Here is a 21,060-nt window from a genome sequence, read left to right on the forward strand (position 1 = left end):
TTTTTGAGACAGGGTCTTACTGTTGCCTGGGCTGGAGTGCAGTGGGTCATAGCTCACTGAAGCCTTGGACACCTGCACTGAAGCAATCCTCCTGCCTCAGCCTCTGGAGTAGCTGGGACTATAGGTGTGCATCACCACACCTGGCAATTTTTTTTTTTTTAAGAGACAGAGTCTTGCTATGTTGCCCAGGCTTGTCTTGAACTCCCGGCCTCAAGTGATCCTCCTGCTGCTGCCTCTCAAAGTCCTGGGATTACAGGTGTGAGCCACCGTGCACAGTCTTTAATCTGTATGACTTCTAATGGTGCGGAGACATGGGCACTCACCCACATTAGTGGGCAAGGAAATTGATACAACTGTTTTGAAGAGCAATTTTGCAATTATTATCAAAATTTGTAAAAGTACACAGTCTTTTACACTACAATTCCATTTGAAGTATTCATAGCAAAGAAACAGGAAAACAGAGGTAAAAAAATATACAAGAACATCCTTTCTATTCATGAAAAATGGGAAATAACCGTAAATGGCACACATACAATGGAATACTAAGAAGCAATTAAAAATTATAATGAAAATGTATACCTGTTCATACAGAAATTCTGTAAAAAGGCACATTATAAAATAGTGTACATAATCTGATCCTATTTTTTTAGATGGCCTATAGTTATCTGAATGTTTGTAAAGCCATAAAAAGAATTTAGGAAGCTTTATATCAAAACACTAACAGTTGTTACCTCTGAGTGGTAGAATGATACTTTTTTTCCTCTATAGATTCCTGTATTGTCTGAAGGCTTTTATAATAAGCATGTATATATTATAATGAAACAGTATATTTCTACTTTGCACAAAATGACAGATTTTTCTGACCCCCCAAGGAATATCACAAAAGGTAAAATGTTAGTTTCAGAGATGTCTTGCTCCAAATTTCAAAAGGAGTATCACAAAAGTAAAATGTAGTTTCAGAGAGGTCTTGCTCCAAATTTCATTAAAATATGCATTTTTTCTAAGTAGTCAAGTTTAGCTGGTTTTCCCAGCAACCCTCTTCATGCTAGGCATCTCTGAAAGGATTTCACAATGTAGTGAATCTTCTTTTTTGTTTTTTTGAGACAGTCTTGCTCTGTCACCCAGGCTGGAGTACAGTGGTGGGATCTCAGCTCACTGCAATCTCTGCCCCCTGGGTTCAAGAGATTCTATTGCCTCAGCCTCCTGAGTAGCTGGAATTGCAGGTGTGCACCACCATGCCTGGCTAATTCTTTTTTTTTTTTTTTTTTTTTTTTTTTTTTTGAGACGGAGTCTCGCTCTGTCGCCCAGGCTGGAGTGCAGTGGCGCGATCTCGGCTCACTGCAAGCTCCGCCTCCCAGGTTCACGCCATTCTCCTGCCTCAGCCTCCCGAGTAGCTGGGACTACAGGCGCCCGCTACCACGCCCGGCTAATTTTTTGTATTTTTAGTAGAGACGGGGTTTCACCGTGTTAGCCAGGATGGTCTCGATCTCCTGACCTCGTGATCCGCCCGCCTCGGCCTCCCAAAGTGCTGGGATTACAGGCGTGAGCCACCGCGCCCGGCCCTAATTCTTGTATTTTTGGTAGAGACAGGGTTTCACCATGTTGGCCAGACTGATCTCAAACTCCTGACCTCAAGTGATCTGCCTGCCTCGGCCTCCCAAAATGCTCCCAAAATACAGGCATGAGCCACTGCTACCGGCTTACAATGGAGTCAGTCTTTAGAAACTGGTGAATTACAAGGAGAACGTTGAGCCGCTATGGGAGCTTAGGGATCTCACAGGCCTCCCTGAGGGAAGGAGGGCAAGCTGTGTGTCTTTGGCTGCAGCCTCTCAGGCTTCCCTTCCAGTGGGGGCATGGGTAAGAGGAAGATGAGAGGAAGCCACCCCGCCAACAGGAAGTGGCTCTTTAGAACGGCTTGTGCTTATCTTGTATTAAAAGGCATCTTGCTGGCAGCCAGTCAGTCAGTTCACTGGGAGAAATGCAACATGTGGACCAGAAGGAGAGCTAGGAACAGTGGGCAAGGGCACACCTACCATCTACTTGGTGACACTCCAGCATACAAAAGCCAGAAAAAATTTAGAAATAAACTGAAGGCTCCCTGGCTCTGTGCTCTTTGTCTGCTTTTAGCTCAGTCTGGGCAATTAGATTATGTAGGTTAACCTCATTAGTTTGAGCTGCTTCCAGCCTACTCCCACAGGTTAGACATTAGCTAGGCAGTGCTGCTGGGTATGAGCAGTTTATCTACAAATTGGCCTTCCCCAGAGTGGGGTCTTTAAAAAAAAAAGTCACTCAACCAATTCTATTGCTAAATGGTATGATTTTAAAAATTAACTGCAATGTGTTTAGCTAAGCCTGAACTTTTTAATTTCTCCAAACCATAAGATCTCAATAATTTTTTTCGAATAAAAGATATGCTTGACTTATAAGCAAAGGTCACTAACTCTAACTAATTTGAAGAAAGCCTAATCTGCCTTAGTAAAAAAATGTTGGAATATAGAATATTTGGGAAACAGTATTAACATAATTTGTTTTATTAATGAATAGGATACTATATGAGGTATCACTAATTACAAATCCCCATACTAGAGCCTTATGGGCAAATAGTATTCCTGAAGTAAAATAATTCAGCCTATTCTTTTCATATGTGTTCTTTTATAATGTGTTGTTTATGGTCTAATTTAAATACAACAACTGATTATCAAAAATAATGAAAATACAAACCTTTATTATTGATCATTGGTGGTATTCCTCAATTAATATGGTTTTAACAAGGTTCTTTTAGTTTTGGTCAGAATTTTCATGCCTTTATGTCCTAATGAAGCTATTCTTTATACCAAATTTTATTGTAGGTGAATCACTAAACTTTTTAAATAAGAAGGAACACATTTTTTGTAGGATAACAATATTATTCATGTTTGTTTTGAATTTAGCAAAAATTGTTTTATTGAGTCATTCATTCAGCAAATATTGACTGCATATATTTTTAATCTTAGGATCTGTTCTAGCTTCTGATTAAATCAAAACTGGTATTTACTTCCCCATATTTTTCTCTTTGCTAGAGAAAGCACCAGATGTATCTGACTATGATATACCTGACCACATATATCTGACTTTTACTGATTTTTCCATATCTTTTTTCCTGCAAGTTTGCCTCTGTGGCTAATCAAAATGCTTGAGGACTGAAAGTCGTATAACTGGAAAAAAGTACAGAATGTTCTAGAAAACAAAATGCCTCTTCCACATCCTTGTGTAGACCTGCGGATAGTCTCTACACACTAGACCTAGTAGCATCGAATCAACTGAATAAATGCTGGAGCATTTAAATCCGTTGCCATTGCCATCTGTTTAAGATTTCCACATCTTTAACACTATTTCCATATGGATAGTCAATATGTTTTTGAGGTTTCTGGTAAAGGAATTTCACTTTAAAAAGAGTCTAAAATTGCTAATTGAATTACACTGTCATATTCTCAAGCAATGTATGTAGTTGGTGGGAATGTAAAGTGGCACAGCCACTGTGGAAAACAGTATGGTGGTTCCTCAAAAAATTAAACATAGAATTACCATTGGATTCATAATTCCACTTCTAGGCATATATCCAAAGGAACTGGAAGAAGGATCTCAAAGAGATATTTGTACACTCATGCTCACAGCAGCATTAGTCATAATATCTAAGAGGTGGAAGCACCCCAAGTGTCCATGGACAGATGACTAGATAAACAAAGTGTGGTAATTTACAATGGAATATTATTCAGTCTTAAAAAAGAAGAAAACTCTGACACATGCTACAACATGGATGACCCTTGAAGGCATTACGCTAATTGAAATAACCCAATCAAAAAAGGACAACCGTGTTATGATTCCACTTATATGAGGTACCTAGAGTCCTCAAATGCATAGAAACAGAAAGTAGGAAGGTGGCTGCCAGGGGTTGCAGGGAGAGGGAATGAGGAGTCATCGTTTAACTGAGACAGTGTCCGTTTTGCAAGATAAAAAGAGTTCCGGAAGTGGATGGTAGTGATGGTCACACAGTCATGTGAATGTTCCACTGAACTACATGCTTAAAAATGATTAAGATAGTAAATTTTGTATGTGTATTTTATCACAATTAAAAAGATTTTTAAAACCCTTATGTATAACATAAGAGCAGGAGAATCAGTAATTATAATTAATACTGAGACCATTTAATCCTTAAGTCATGCCAGAACAAGGACACGAATAGGCCAATCACATCAGACAAGTCAGGAGTGAGAACCCAGAGTCATTACATCATAGTGCATCACAAACTCAGCAACAGAACTTCAGTCTTTATACCTACCCAAGGGCTGAAATTATCACCTTCTATCAAGGTAACTTTTCTAAGTCTCGAGTGTGGTATCTTTGACTTACTTTGGAAAAGCAAAAACAAAAGTGTACATTTCTCATACAATGCATTCTTAGGACAGAAAAAAAAAACAGTGTAAAATACATTGAATTTAAATCCTTAGCCACACCTGTATCCCAGCACTTTGGAAGCTGAGGCAGGAAGTTTGAGGCTAGATATTTGAGACCAGCCTGGGCAACACAGCAAGACCCTGTCTCTACAAAAAATTAAAAAATTTGCCAAGTGTGGTAGCACACCCCTGTAGTGCCAGCTACTCAGGAGGCTGAGGCAGGAGGATAGCTTGAGCACAGGAGTTCAAGGCTGCAGTGAGCTATGACTGCGCCACTGCACTCCAGCATGGGCAACAGAGAGAGATCCTGTCTCTAAAATAAATAAATAAAACCTTGTGTTTAATACTAAGAAAATGAAAGTGAACAAAGAAATCTGGACCAGGTAAAGGGAGTTATTGTCATTATGAATTCCCCTTTTATAGATGATAAAACTGAGGCACAGAGAGGTTAAGAAACCTGCTGACAGTCACAAAGTGAATCCGTGGTACAAACAGGATTCAGAGTTCACACTCTTAACCACCCACCACAAAGATAGAGGTGTAGGGAGGTTGTGGTGTTAGGATTTCGGGGAATGGGGAGGATTTGCTGTGTACAAGTACCAAAGAGGGAAATATCAAAACCGAAGCCCATCAAGGACTCAAAAGCCCAAACTCTGTAGCCTATGACTTTACGAGACGTCTAGCAAGGAGTAATAATCCATTTTGGCTCTAGCTGAAAGGGCGGTTCAAGCCTCCTCTCAGAGCATAAAAGTATGGTTTCTATTATACAAAATGGAAACTTCCTAGCCTACAACTTCTTTCCTAAAATAGTACATGCTGTTCCCCACATTTGTGTTGTCAATGTATTTTTAACTGTAATGTGAAGACACACTTCTCAGCAGAAAAAAATGAAGGAATGGGACCAAAATGACTTAGGGAAAGGTGCCAGAATTAATTTGCCAGCCATTCAGCAATCAGTCAAAGGCAGAGCATTTCCTGAGGCAGCAATTTATCCTTTGGCTGTCACATCAAACCCCAGCTGTTTTAGAAGAGCGCCTAGCAAAGATGAGCAGATGATGCTCTGTGGGTCCTTATTCATCAAATACACACGGGATCATCAGTGAGAACAGGGGACTGAGCCAATGAACTAGCTTGCCTACACCTCTCATTTACTGTCTTATTTATCTACTCTTCATTATCTAATTTTTCATCCAGTCTAGTTGAACCTCCCAAGCAAATGGTTTCACACCAATCCACGGGCAGACAGCTCCCCCATCAAATGTACCTTCCAACTGGAAACCTCAGCCTTGGCTCCACGGGAAGTCACACCTTCCTGATCCCAGGTTCTGTGTGTGTCACTAATGGTGGGTTGGTAATGATGCCTTTTATTTTTTATGCTTCCTCTGATTAGAGTGAAACTGTGTTTCTCTAATGCTAACAGCCCAGTGAATGTGAAAAATTCAACTCTCCTGGCTGGGAGTATGTTACAGCCATCATGATTTCTGTTCCCAGTAAAAAGTCTGAATAACTGTGTTGATTACAGCCAAATAATCTTGCAAAAGTCCACCTCTACCCGTGAAGTCATGTAAATAATTCCAAAGATTGTCATATACTAGTCCTTATTTAATTGAAAACAGGCAAATTCTTTTAATCCAAATATACATTATATTATGCACATCAAAAATAAAGCACTAAAAGGAAATTATAAAAACCAATGACCATTATGTTAATAGCTGCAATAAGAAGAGATGAGTCGTAACATATACACACTAACACTGCCCAAAACAGGTAGTAGAAGGTTAGTGTATTCACAAGAACTTACTACATTTACTATTTTTAAAAAGTCTATCTGAATTTTCAGTAAATATTCTTCCTATAAAGGATCCACAGTTTTAAATCTTAGAAGTGCTTAATAAGAATTAGAGACATTTGAATGAATATTTATATATATCAATTATGCAATACATTGTCACTGTCCTTTATAATAAGATTGTCTGAAACAGAATGCAGTCATATGAACTGACTGGCATATCTTAGATGCCATTAAAACGTATTTATCATGACCCCACACCCCCCAAGAAAACCCCACAAAATGTGTCAAGTCCTTGCCTACAATACTAAACATGAAATCAGAATTGATGGGCTCTAAGTTGATGAATGTTTGGGCTGGTTACTAAAATGGATGGGGGGTCATTTGTATCCATTCCTCAACAGCATGCTCTGTCAAGGGGAAAAGTTTAATTGAATCTTGCGTTTTCTCATTTCTTGCTGAAAAGTACGATGTTAAGGCCAGCAAGGTATTAAGAAGACTTCATCATGGGACTTGTCAGATTCTCTCCTCCTCTATTTCCCTCTATGTTCCAATGTCAACAAACTTGCCCCAGTTTTTATCAAAGGGCATGTGGTTATCTCCTTCTCTACCCCTTCTTAGCCTCTTCGTTCTTCAGTATAATTGCAAATCCTAAAAGCAATTCATAGAATAAACAAAATGAAATGTTTGAGTCTTGTTAGCTGAGGTCCAAATGGTGCCAGCACAGAGAATGCCTCACTGCACAGCTTTCTGGGGTGGAGTTAACTAGTGATCAAGTTGAAGCCAAAGGAAGAAAGCAGAAGAGAATAGTGATTTGCACCTTTTCAGAATGTATTTCTTCTCTGTGCCAAACTGCATCTCAGCGCTGAACTTCTTGGATGTGGACTCAGTTCAGCTGCCTTTCTGAAAGTTGCTTGGATTTCAGGGACTCCATAACAATTTGGCATTCCACAATTATGGCCTCTTTCAGAGAGCATTTTCCAGAATGTGTGACTAGGACAAAAAGATCTCAGATTTTTCCAAAGGCTTCAGGACAATGTCAATTAAAACAATTTTGGGGGGATTTGATGGAATGCCAGAAAACTGGTTGCTTCAGCCATGAACAAATAAATAAACAACTCCAAATATTAATTTCGGAATGGACTTGAGCCAAATCTCTTACTCCCAGACCAGTGGGCTGCAGACTATCAAATGAGATTTCTTCCATCAGGCATTATGAAAAAGAATCAACCCACACGAGGTGTTCAGAGGGCGATTAAAAGACTACACCACATGTAAAAGTACCAGAATACATGGTATTTTCCCTCACTCCATTATCCCAACCAGGTTTATTTCTGGAAAGACAGAGTGCCAGAGGAACTGAAGGTAAAGGAAGGGTAAACAGCAAGAGTGATATGAGAACTTTTTAAAATAATAATTGAGAAATTATTTTTTAAAGTGTTACATATGTGGCAGGAAACTGGTCTTTTTTTTTTTTTTTTTAACACATAGAAGGTTTTGCCACCCTATCCTCAATTTTCTCTCCAATATAGAAAAGGTGTTTACACTTAAGAGCCTTTTTTAAAGATTGGCCTATTCACTCTCTGTTCAGAGAGGAATTTGGTTTTGCAACCTTGCTAATAGTAAAGAACATATTTACATGTCCTTCAAATAATAAGGATTCTTAAAAATACCACTGAAAATAATTCTTATTTGGGTAAATTGAGCAGGAAGTAAATGTTTTCAGTCAGACGTCTGCCAAACCAACCCCAGAATAGTTCAGCTTCGTATGCAGGGTTTTCAGGACAGCCCTTCTTACCCCATCTGAGGTGAGGGACCAGGGTTTAGCTTTTATTTCTAATATCCATTCTTTTGCAAAATCTAATAAAAATGAATTACAGGCCAGGCACTGGCTCACGCCTGTAATCCCAGCAATTTGAGAGGCCAAGGCAGGAGGATCGTTTGAGCCCAGGAGTACTAGACCTGTCTGGACAACATGATGAGACAATAAATAAATAAATAAATAAATAAGAATTACAAAAAAATGAAAAGACAAATCCAATGCAAGGTACAAATCCAAAATTTTTATCATAGATTCACAATCCATATAAAATTAATCCATCCAATTGCTTTGAAAGTTTCTAAGCACTTACTCTCATCTTCTGTACTTAACTCGTCACGGATGAGTATCAAACAGCTCACAGTCCCCATCTATGGACCATGGACCACACTTGGAATTGTGCTGGTCCACAACATGGCACCACTCTGTCTTAAAAATCTGACTTCCCATAATTTCCCCTGCTTCAGAAAAGCAGAATTGTTCTCAACTAATACTTCACAGAAAGAACTTGACAAAACTTAATAGCAGGTGTTATCTGAAACAAAGGAGAATGGGGAGGGGATTCTGTGGTGGCCCCTACTAGAATGTGGGAAATGTTGAAGGCACAGATTTTTACCTGAATCTCCACTGCCTGGAACTGTGCGTGGTACATAGTCATAGCTCAATAATAGTTTCTGAATGAATGAAATAAACTTGGGAAGCACAGAATTTAACAAAGCCAACTTGTTTTATTTAATTTTATTATTTTACTTTCAGCACAATACTCCTTAGAGTATTTAACATGTTAAGAGGAATTGTAAATCTCCAAGAGGAGAACATGACTTTTTTGTTTTTTTGAGATGGAGTCTCGCTCTGTCACCCAGGCTGGAGTGCAGTGGTGCAATCTTGGCTCACTGCAAGCTCCCCCTCGCGGGTTCATGCCATTCTCCCACCTCAGCCTCCTGACTAGCTGGGACTACAAGCGCCTGCCACCACGCCCGGTTAATTTTGTTTTTGTATTTTTAGTAGAGATGGGGTTTCACTGTGTTAGCCAAGATGGTCTCGATCTCCTGACCTGGAGATCCACCCGCCTCGGCCTCCCAAAGTGCTGAGATTACAGACGTGAGCCACCGCGCCCGGCCAGAACGTGATATTTAGTCACAGAATCCTTTATTTCAAGGAGCAGCTTAAGAAGATGGGAAATGCTAATCTAAAAACTTCCTCTCCTGACTTCCCACCCTGAAATCTCTGTTTCCCTTGACGCTTCTATCACAAATATGTCTCTCTATGACCTTTTTCAGTTGTCAAAATCCAGTGCTTCCTGTAACTTTCAAGTCATAAACTACCTCCTCTCTGAGGCCTTTCCTCATTTCACCAATGTGCTGTGCTGTCCCTGCCTTAATGGGAATAGTAACTGCACACATCTCTCAGGAGGCCATGTGGGCTGAATGAGATGATCAGTACAGAATGTCTAGAACAGTACCTGGTACTTAGTAAGTGCTCCATGTGTGGTGATTAGCATTAAGTACCATCACAGCATTTGACTTCTCTGACATCTGAAGAGAACTACAATGAGGTGGAATTCCATTTCCGTATCGACTGTAAGCTCCTTAAAGGAAGAGCTGTCTTACTCAGCTCTGTATCTTCTAGAAGGAGCAGCACAGTACTTTGCAAATAAGAGGTGCTGGGTTAATATCTGCTGAGTTGAACTAAGCAAGATAAAACTGGAGAGAGAGGCCTAAAGAAACAAGAACAATTTTTCTAGGCATCTGATCATAAGTAAGCATGAATAACTTCAATAACTTCATAGCGTTTAGTGTTGGGGCATGAAATAAATCAATTCTGCTTCTGAGCATGGAAAAAATTTCTGCACTGTTAGGATCTACCAGGGAGTATGTATAACTGGGTCATTTTTACACTTCCCAAAAAACTTCTTACTATGAGCAATATTTTCTGGGAAATTTTTCATTACAGAACATCTTGGGCTTCTTAGCAACTGACTTACGGTTTTCTAAATTCTAAATCCGATAACTTGGAGGCTTGAATTTGAAAGACAAAACTCTCAAGAACTGATATATTGCCACCAATCTAACTGGAGTTATTCCTACTAGCTAGAAGTCCTGCCTGCATTCCTCTGGGAGAGGAAGCCCCGTCCCTCCCCATCTCATGCCTATTCTATCTTCCCCATGTGACTCAGCCCTCCTTGTCTTCTCCTTGTCTTCATTTTTTGGATTCCAAAGTAAAGTCAAACAACAATTCAACAGGAAGTAGACTGAGCCCAGGGAAGGTGATATTTGGCAAGTTCATTATTCCTAAATTCTAAAATTGAGGCCAAAACAACTTGATCTTTTCTAAAAAAAAAAAATAAAAAAACAAAAAAACAAAAAAAAAACTGGGAGAAGAGGAAGGGAGTTAGAAAGAACATTTGAATCCACATAGGAATGGGGAGCTTGCTTTTGATAACACAAAAAACTAGAGAGTTGCCTGTGCCTTTGAAGGATCTTTACTATTTTAGACAGTTTGGTGAGAATCCCACCAGCCACTGCTGTTAGCAAATGACAAGGTCTCACCAGTGGATGTGTCTGAGGGCTTACTTAGTAAAAGTCCTTTGAAATATGGAGTCCAGTGCTATCTATACTTTGATATGCACGTATGTCACCCAAGTGTCTTGGCAAAATCCAGTTTCTCATGCCTTAGTCCTGAGGTGGGGTCAAGTCTATGAGTCTGCATTTCTAACAAGCTCGCAGATGACACTGATGCTTCCCCTATAGGGCCCACATTTTGAGTAGCAAGGAGCTGTTCCCAAAGACGGTGAAGAATAAGGGGCAAGTATTCTCCATGATGCCTTGAGGACAAGAGATTCAGAAGAATCGATTACAGCCTAAAGGATTTGAACCAGAGATGAAAAAGAATGCTTTCCATGAAGTATTGCTAGATATTGGAGCCAGTTACAGAGAAAGCTTTTAGACAATTAAGCACAAGATGGGTATCCAAGTGTTTGGGCTGTTGTGATAATTAGCCTAAACAATATTTCAGGGGTCCAGATTTATCTACTTAGTCTCTCTCCATTGATTCAGTGACCCCAGTAATAGCTGAATCTCCATTGGAATGTGGGTTGTGTAGATACAGAAGCAATATCATGACTATATTGAATTCAATTAAAAATAAAGTTTCAGAAAATGGCCCTGATTTGCATCCCTAATTTCTATTCAACTTTCCCATTTTAGGACACAGTATTGAGTGTGAGGACGAAAACGCTCGCCAACCCAGTCCTGTTTTAGTGACAGCAGATTCTGGGTACTTATGTCTCCTATCGCCATACAATATGGCCTAATAAAGTCGCGCCAAAGAGACTAGATTTCATTTCAGAGCAAAGGGTTCAGTCGTAAACTTTAGCTTTCTGGCTGAACAGAGCCATTCCAGCCGCAAGCATAAATTCTGCTAGTTTTAGGTATCAGAGTGATTGGGAAGCCAAATGGGTTATTTGTGAGCCTGGTAGCAAAGGCAGAAGCGCCAGCTTTATTGTGTATTCATTGTTATCTGGACAATCTCTTGTCAGTTAGAGAATATTTTCACAGGAAGTTAGAAGCGATTTCAGAAATTCCCCTCTGCAGTTTCTCAGAGTGGATGTTAGGCCTCATCAAAAAGACATTTGGTTCAGAGATTGAAAGTGGGCAGCCTATAAATTGCTGAGGTATTTAGCTGGGCTTAGCAGTTTTCCTTTGAGGAGGAAACCATGATCCTGAGTGCTCACTGAGTACAGCAGGGAAGTGCCTAAGTTCACGCAGCCTCTGGCTTCAAAAAATCCCAGCCTTATCATGTGCTCCTGAGCCAAGGAGCATAACCTCTCCAAGCCTTAATTCCCTTCACCTGCAAAATGAGAGCAACACTAGTACCTACCTCCTAGGGAGGCAGCTGAAATGAGGTGGTGCATGTAAAGTGCTTAGCAGGGTGCCTGGCAAATAGCTAACATTTGTGGAGTACTTTCTATGCAACAGATGAGCATGTGTTCTAACCATACTAAGAGATGGCATTTATTGAGTTTGTACCTTGTAGACAGTCTATACATGTCAGCTGTCATTATAAGTAATGAGTGATAGTGATAGTGATGATGCTGATGATGCTGATGATAGACAAGATAGCTCTACTGCTCAGACAAAGGAACTATGCCAATTAGATGTGGGGCCTGTGATTCATGGCTTCCTATTGCTTAGCTGCTGCTAGAAAAGGCTGGAACATCAGTGATCATACAGTGGTTCTCTGAATTGAAGAGAAACATTAAGCAGCCTGAGTTTGTCCCCAAAAGACAGCAATATTCTCTGGAGGTCCTCTCTGCCACCCATGGACTTTCCTAACGGCCAGTAAGTTAACTCTGGGTAGATATGATGATAAGGGAGAAGTTGATATTTTGAGGGGACATGATGGTCTCCCAAAATAGAAAATGGATCATGTGTGGGTAGCACCATTAACATGATGCAGGATCACCCAGCCTGGCTTTCTGAAAGGAGCCCTGGGCAAACAGGACCCTGATGACCAGAATGACACTTGCCCACATCTCTCAGTTAGTACTCCCCACACACTATTCGTACCTGTCGTTCTCCTTCCTATCAAATGGCTTTGCTACTCACTTCCAGCCTTGCCTCCACGACTGATTTTGAATGGATACCTAGCATATCCTTGGTCCACAGGATGAGTGTGCAAAAAAAAAAAAAGGGTACTTATTCAAAATATTCTTTTTAAAAATACTTGTCCAGCTTGTATTTGGAGGACAGACAGAGCAGTAGATGGGGTGATAGAGAGAGGAATGATCCCTGGTCAGAGTCTTCAGCTACTGACCCTAGTAATTCAATCTTGAGCCCAATTTTGCATACTCAGCAAAAGAAAAGTTTTGCAGTCAAGCAGACCCATGCTTTTTAGAAAGCAAGTTATAAAATATCTGTCATTACTTGAACATGCCATTTGGGAGGAGGAGACTCATCCCTCCTAGCCGAAAAACCGTATCAAAGTATTCCCCCAAATACCTTATTAAAGTATTCAAAGTAATCTCAAACTTTCTGCCTCCTGAGAAGAGTTCTGGGAAGCACACTTTTCTATTTCTTGTTGCATTTCTAGAATGTTTTACCACTCATTGTAGTTCAGCATCCCCAGAAAACTGACAGGCAGGCCATCACCCTGCAGTTGGTATAAGATGGAAAGAGGGAGAGGACTTGCTATGATCCTGTTTGGGCAAAGAGACCCCTCCCTGTCCCCATGCTCACCTGTCCCATGAGCAAGTTCAAGTCAATAATACATGTCTATCCACTGAGGTAACTCATTGCAGCACACAGCTGTTCTCCTTGCAGTCAACACCAGTGCAGAGCTCTCCCTGGGCAAAGCTGCACTTGCTGGATGGGTTTTCATTAACATATGGGAAAGAATAGTCAGCAAATCTTCACTGTTGCAGAGGACTGGGAAAAACCAGACAGATGCACCTAGTTCTCACCTATCCATGCAGACAAAATCATCTAGCCTTAGGGAGTGGAGGGTGAATTGCCAGAGACGCTGAAGGGGTTGGGAAAACCAGTGTCATTTAGGTTGATGAACAATGCTGCTGCCCTAAAAAATGTATTCAGTCAGAAAATTCTGCTGACTCCGTATCTCACCACAAAGAGCTCCAGGGACCTTCCCCGACATCAGTCATTTACAAAAGTGTTGGCAACACAAAATTGTAAGCACTGTAGGTAGGGATGCCTTTATGCCACCTTAGAGGGTGGTTTTATATCAGGATTATTCCTCTATCTTCTCCCATCAGTGATCCAGTTCTGACCCAGTCTCAAATCTCATCACAAATAGAAAGCCAAACAGCACCTACCTCCATCTCTTAAGAAAGTTGAAGGAGAGAATTTATAGACTGAGGGGTAGGTGCTTTCATATACGGATAATCTTTCAAAAATACCATAAGCTCTTCCATTTTTTTTACAGCAGGTAAATAGGGAGCTAAGAGAGGTTCAGTAGCCTTCCCCAGGTCTTACAGCAAATCGCGTCCTAATCAGAGTCTTATAATCCTTGCCCTGTCCCATCCTGCTGCCCACTGCACAGCCGCACAACCCCCCTCACACTTCACAAACCAGGGATAACAGGAAGGGTGAGGGCTGTGGTAGCAATTTTGGATAATATAGTGGTCCATGGGTACTTATAGCAGGGAAATACTATCTGAGATCTTCAGATGATCAAAATTGAATCCTAGTTAGACTGGAATACCCAATCCCATTCTGAAGGGGAATCAAATATTCCTCTTTCAGTTGTTCTTGCCTCTCTAGCCTATTTAAGGAGAAAGAGAAAAAAAATACTCAACCACAGATAGAAATGTCCTTCTCATTGCCAAATTTTAGCCAAAACAAGAAATCAACAGAAGCTTCTTAAGAAACTATACCTATTTGTCCCAGTCTAGAAAAAGGAGAAAGGATAGAATCCATCACCCTAAAAAGCAATGCCACAGGTATGGGGGCCAGGAATAAACAGACTTCCACAGCCAGACTGACAACAAAGAGCTTCTGCACACCAGCATCAGTGGGCACAGAGATATATGTTACTTCTCAGTGGGCAGAGATACCCTATCTACTTACAGGGTATGGAAAAAAGAGAGGAAGTGATGACTCTTATTCATAGATATTAATTAGTTACATCCACTTCCCATCCTCCAGTGTATACAGAGTACAGCCATCAAGACAGGACCCCTGTATTTCTCCGAACATGAAACCCTAATCACTGGGACTGCATCACTCGTTACCATGAAATACATGTGGCAGTTAATGATAAAAACCACAAAAATTACACTCAGTTCAAACGTTTTATTGCATGCCATTCTTCAAGATGGCAGATGGCTGCCTAAATTGATCTCAGTGTCATGTTACAGGTGCCCCTAAGTTTCTCTAAATCAGCCAAATGAGTTTGAAGTTGAAACGGCCACCTCACATTGTTCTACCAGGAGACGCACAGGATGCCACTGTAATGCAGTTTGCTGAATTATAGTATTCATAGGCTCTGATTAAAAAAAAAATAGGTGAACTACCTGAAACTTGCCCCACAGAGAATGATTATTGAATATGCTAAAAAGCCATGATGCTGATGACCCTGACTTAAAGGCAATATTCTCCCCATTCTGGCTGTACAGGGCAAACATAGCATATGGCGGCTAAAGAGATATCTGAGTTACTGGTTCTGGGTAAGATGGAGTTATCACAGTTCATCCTGTCTTTCCCACTGAATGATGTTCTAAGACCTGGACAGAATGCATGGAGCAGCTATTTGAAGACATTGAGAATAAACAATGGCAGGTAGATTGAAGAAGACCCGAATTAGAAATACCACCAAATCAGCAGTGAATTTACCATTGTTCTCTTCTGGTATCCTCTAGCCTGACCTCGAGGCAGCCAGAACCTGGAAGGGATCATCAAGATGTGGACAAAAAACCTCCAGGAGAAGCCTCATAGTAGAACTAACTAATGCGAGGTAACTCTTAGAAAAAATGGAGGAAATCACTGTTTTTCCCTCCCTCCCTCCCTCCATCCATTCCTTCCTCCCTCTCTTCCTTCCTCTCTTTCTTCTTTCCTTTCTTCCTTTCTTTTTCTCTCCTCCTGTGCCCCAACACCAAGCCATCTAGTAGTGGCAGTAGCAGTGGTGACAATGCAAGCCAGAAAAAGATTAAAGGAGATAGGAGAATTTTCCTCTCTGCCCAAAAAACCTATGGTCCTGAGAGAATGAAAACCAAACCCTATTGCTTTTTGTCTCTCTCTGCCCTTCTACCAGTTGGCCCCAGATGTGAACACAATCACAGAAAGTATACAGAAAGCCAGATAACTAAAGCCTCAGCAGCCCTTCCATCAAAAGATCAAAAAGGAAGACCCCAGGGAACCTGAAAATATTGCAGAGATCACATAGAAAGAGGACATGGGGAAGTAGTCACTAAATTGTTTATAAACTCTGGGGCTCACGCTAAGCTGTGCATGGATGAAACTGACCCTACACAGCACATTTAGATTCTAAGAACTAAACTACAATATAGACCACCACCCAGTCTGAGGGCAATATTGGACAGATCCAAATAGCACTGCCAACGCTTTGAAAACTCAACTAACATTGAAGTCACAACCCATAGAAGCCCCATAAGAACCTGTAGCCTAAAATCAAGCCGATCAGGCCGGGCGCAGTGCCTCGTGTCTGTAATTCCAGTATTTGGGAAGCCAAGGCGAGTGGATCACCTGAAGCCAAGAGTTCAAGACCAGCCTGGCCAACATGGCAAAACCCTGTTTCTACTAAAAATACAAAAATTAGCCAGGCGTGGTGGTGGGCACCTGTAATCCCAGCTACTTGGGAGGCTGAGGCAGGAAAATTGCTTGAACCCAGAAGGCAGAAGTTGTAGTGAGCTGAGATTGCACCACTGCACTCCAGCTTGGGTGACAGAGTGAGACTCCATCTCAAATAATAATAATAATAACAATAATAATAATAAAGTAAAATAAAATAAAGCAGGTCATTACCTTCCAAAATAAAATTATCAACATTCTTACAAAATTTAAACAAGAATCAGAGTTTCATAATAAAAAAATTAAAATATCCAAGACACAATAAAAAATTACTTGCCATAAGAGTAACCAGGAAAATCTCAACTTGCATGGAAAAAGACAATCAGCAGATGCCAATGCCTAGATGACACAGATGTTGGAATAATCTGACAAAAACCTTAAAGCAACTACTATTTCCCGATAACTAAGAAAGAACACATTTGTAAAGAAGTAAAAGACGGGATGCATAATTTAAAAATCAAAATTTTAAAAATCAAATGGAAATACTACAATTAAAAAATACAATAACTAAAACATTCACTGAATGGGCTCAACAGCAGAGCAAAGATGATGGAGGGAAGAGTCAATGAACTTGAAGCTAGGTCAATATAAATTGTGCAATTTGAACAACAGAGAGAAAAAAGTATTGAAAAGTTTCACACAGAGCCTCAGGGTCCTCTGATACATCAGAAAAAGATTTAGCATTTGCATCATAGGAATCCTAGAAGGAAAGCAGAAATAATATGGTGCAGGAAAAAAAAATTTTTTTGAGGAAACAATAAGTGAAAACTTCTTTAACTTCCCCAGAGACAAACCTAGCAGTTGAAGAATCTCAATGAACTCCAACAGGATAAACCCAAAAGAATAATGCCTAGACACATTGTAAGCAAACAACAGAAAACTAAAGACAAAGAGAAAATCTAGAAGGCAATCGGAGAAAAATGACTCATTACTTATAGGTAACCACAATTCAAATGACTATGGATTTCTCATCAGAAACAATGGAGGCAAGAAGAAAGTAGAACAACACTTTTAAAATGTTGAACCCTGAATTCTATATCCACCAAAATGTCCCTAAGTAATGAAAGTGAAATAAAGATATTTTCAGATGACAGAAAACAGTGTTTGTTGCCAGAGCATGGCTCTGAAGGAACTGCTAACATAAGTTGGACAAACAGAACAGGAATGATACTAAAAGGAAGGAAACAAAGAGAAAACAACAACATTAATAAATATTAGAATAATATAATAGACTATACTTCTCTTGAATTCTTTAAAATAGATAAAAGCAAAAATTATAACATTGTCTGATATAGTTTGCAACAGCTGTAATACATAATACAACTATAACATAAAATGGGGAGGGTAAAGAAACCTATAGTTTGGTAAGGGTTCTACATTTCACTTAAAGAGGCAAATCATGGAATCCAAGTAGACTTAAAAAGTTAAGTATGTACATTACAAACCCATGAGCAATCAATTTTTTAAAAACTATATAAAGAAGTATAAGAAATACCACAGACCAAAAAAAATTCTGAAAATGTTCAAAATGATTCAAAAGAAGAAAGAAGAGAGTTCAAAGTTTTTGAAAAATTAGTCTAATTTTCAAAACTGAAACAGGAAACAAACAGAAAGCAAATAAAATATTAGGCCTAAATCCAAACATATAAATAATAATATTATAGATAAATTGTCTAATGCAACCAATTAAGAAAGAGAGATTCAAAGAATCGATTTTTAAAAAATCACCCGACTATAAACTGTCTATAAGAAGATCACTTAAGTTTTAAAGATAGGTTTGGTTCAAACAAAAAAGAGGAGAAAAGATATACTTTTTTCCATGAAAACACCAATCAAAAAAGAAAGCTTGAGTGGCTATATTAATATCAGATAAAGTAGACTTCAGAACAAAGAAAATTACAAGGATATAGGGATAATATATAATGATAAAAAGGTCAATTCACCAAGAAAACGTAACAATCTAAAGTATATGCACTTAACAGACTTTCAAACACACACAAAGCAAAACCTGACGGAACTAAAGTAGACAAATCCACAGTTATAATTGGAGACTTCAGCATCCTTCTCGTAGTAAGATGCAGAACTAGCAGACAGGAAATCAGCAAGGGTATAGAAGAAATGAACAACACCATTAGCCGACTAGTAATAATTGACATTTATAGAACACTCTGCCCAACAATAGCAGAATATACATTCTTTTTAAGCTCACCTGGAACATTCACCAAGACAGATTACATTCTGGGCCATAAAATGCACCTTAACAAATTTAAAAGAATTGAAATCATGCCAAGTAGGTTCTTAACCATAATGGAATCAGACTACAAATCAATAATAGAAAGATAAGAGGAATATCTTCAAATACTTGGAAATTAGGCAACACACTTCTAAATAATTCATGGATCAAAGAAGTTTCATGTGAAATTAGAAAATATTGTTAACTGAACAAAAATGAAAACACAACATATCAAAATTTGTGGAATGCAGCTAAAGCAGGGACCAGGAAGAAATATATAGCACAAAATGTTTACACCAAAAAAGAAGAGTCTCAAATCCAAAATCTAAGCTTCATCTTAAGAAGAAACTAGAGAAGAGGAGCAAAGTAAATCTAAAGCAAGCAGAAAGGAAACAAACAAACAAAAAATACAGGAAATAATAAAACCAAAGCCGATTATTTAACAAAGATCAGCAAACTTTATATCTAGTAAGAGTGACAAATAAGAGAGAAGACACAAATAACAAAATCAAGAATGAAAGAGTGGTTATCACTGCCCACATTAAAAGGACAATAATGGGATACTATGAATAACTCTACATACATAAATTGAAAAACTCAGATAAATTAGACCAATTTTTCAAAAACTTTGAATTGTCACAACTCACCCAAGATTAACTATTTAACCTGAATAGTCCTATAACCATTGAAGACATTGAATTTGTATTTAAAAACTTTCAGAAAAGAAAAAAATCTAGGCCCAAACCTAGTAGTATTTCACTGCCAAATACTACTAAATATTTAAAGAAAAAAAAATCACCAATTCTACACAATTTCTCCCAGAAAACAGAAGGAAGGGAAAGATTTCCAACTCATTTTATAAAGCCAACATTACCTGACACTAAAATCAAAGACAGTCTAAGAAACGTACAAACTAATATACACCAAAAAACAAACACACACAAATTCTTCATAAAAATATTAACAAACCAAATCCACCAACATGTATAAGAAATAATCACACTAACTAGGGTCTCTCCCAGGAATGTATGGTGGCTGGTTCAATATTGTATAATCATTCAATGTAATTTACCATATTAACAGTCTAAAGAAGAAAAACTACATGATCCTATACATTGATGCAGGAAAGCATTTAGCAAAATTCAACCTCCATTCATGATTGAAAAAAATAAAACTCTCACCAAAATAGAAATGGGAAGGAACTCCCTCAACCTCAAAAGAAAGGTATCTACAAAACATCTATAGTTCATATCATACTTAATGGTGAAAGAAATGAATGTTTTCCCTTGAAGACAGGTGACAAAGAAAAGATGTCTACTCCCACTCCCTCTATTCAATATTCTGCAAGAAGTGCTAGCCGGTACAATATGATTGCCAGGTACAAGGTCAATACAGAAACATAATGTATATTTCTACATACCACCAATGAACAATTGGAACCCAATTTTTTTAAGATGTCATTTATAATAGCTCCAAAAATGTAAAACTTACATATAAATCTAACAAAACATGTACAGAATCTTGATGCTGAAAACTATAAAACACTGGGTAAAACAAGTTAAAGATGACCTAAATAAATGAAGAGACCAAATTGATGGACTGGAAGATACGACATAGTAAAGATGTCAGTGCTCCCCCAAATTGGTCTATAGGTTTAATACAATTCCAATCAAAACACAGGAGGAATTTTTTTTAGGTATAGGCAAGCTGATTTTAAAGTATATATGGAAAGACAAGGACACTAGAATAGCCAAAGCAATTTTGAAAAAGAATACATTTGGAGGACTCAAACTTTGTAATGCCCATTTTAAGCAACAGAAGATTGTTCCTAGACCTTGAAGCTCAATGGAGTTTGCCATATTGGAATCTGAAGTTGTTTGGTTCCGGTACCTCCTTTCATCCTTCCATATTCTCCCTTTTGGAATGGCACTGTCTATAGCCATTATCCTATGGCTGTCCTGCCATTGCATTTGGGGTGCAGAGTACTTGTTTTCTAGTTTCACAGATCCAAAAATGGAGAAGAATTTTGTCCCAGGATTGATCACACCCAAAGTCTCACCCATAACTGATTAGATGATGACATTGGGACATGTGAGTTGCTGATCTTCAGCTCTGATTTTGGACTTGAATTGTTTTGCAGGGTTGAGACTTTTGGGGATGGGGGAATGAGGTGAATGTATTTTGCATGTGGGATGAATGTAGATTTTTGCAGAAGTGATTAACGATCTTGTGATAGGAAGGTTATCTAAGTGGGCTCTAAATGTAATCTCTATTGTCTTTTTAGAGGAGGTTTGGCTAAAGAAGAAGAAATAGGAGATGTGACAATGGAAGCACAATGTTGGAGTGATGCGATGACAGGGACAAGAGCCAAGGAATGTGGTCAGCCTCCAGAAGCTAGAAAATGCAAGGAAACAGATTCTCCTCTAGAGCCCCCAGAAGGAACCAGCCCCGCCACCATGTTG

The 21,060-nt window shown here is 39.1% G+C and overlaps 1 protein-coding gene across 56 annotated transcripts in view; it reads right to left on the minus strand.

The window, feature by feature from the left end:
• KCNMA1 (potassium calcium-activated channel subfamily M alpha 1) overlaps positions 1–21,060 on the minus strand; it is a 768,207-nt gene that overhangs the window by 170,300 nt on the left and 576,847 nt on the right. The gene's annotated exons all lie outside the window — the stretch shown is intronic.

The sequence above is a fragment of the Homo sapiens genome, chromosome 10 (genome assembly GCF_000001405.40).
Source record: "Homo sapiens chromosome 10, GRCh38.p14 Primary Assembly".
Classification (NCBI taxonomy): Eukaryota; Metazoa; Chordata; class Mammalia; order Primates; family Hominidae; genus Homo; species Homo sapiens.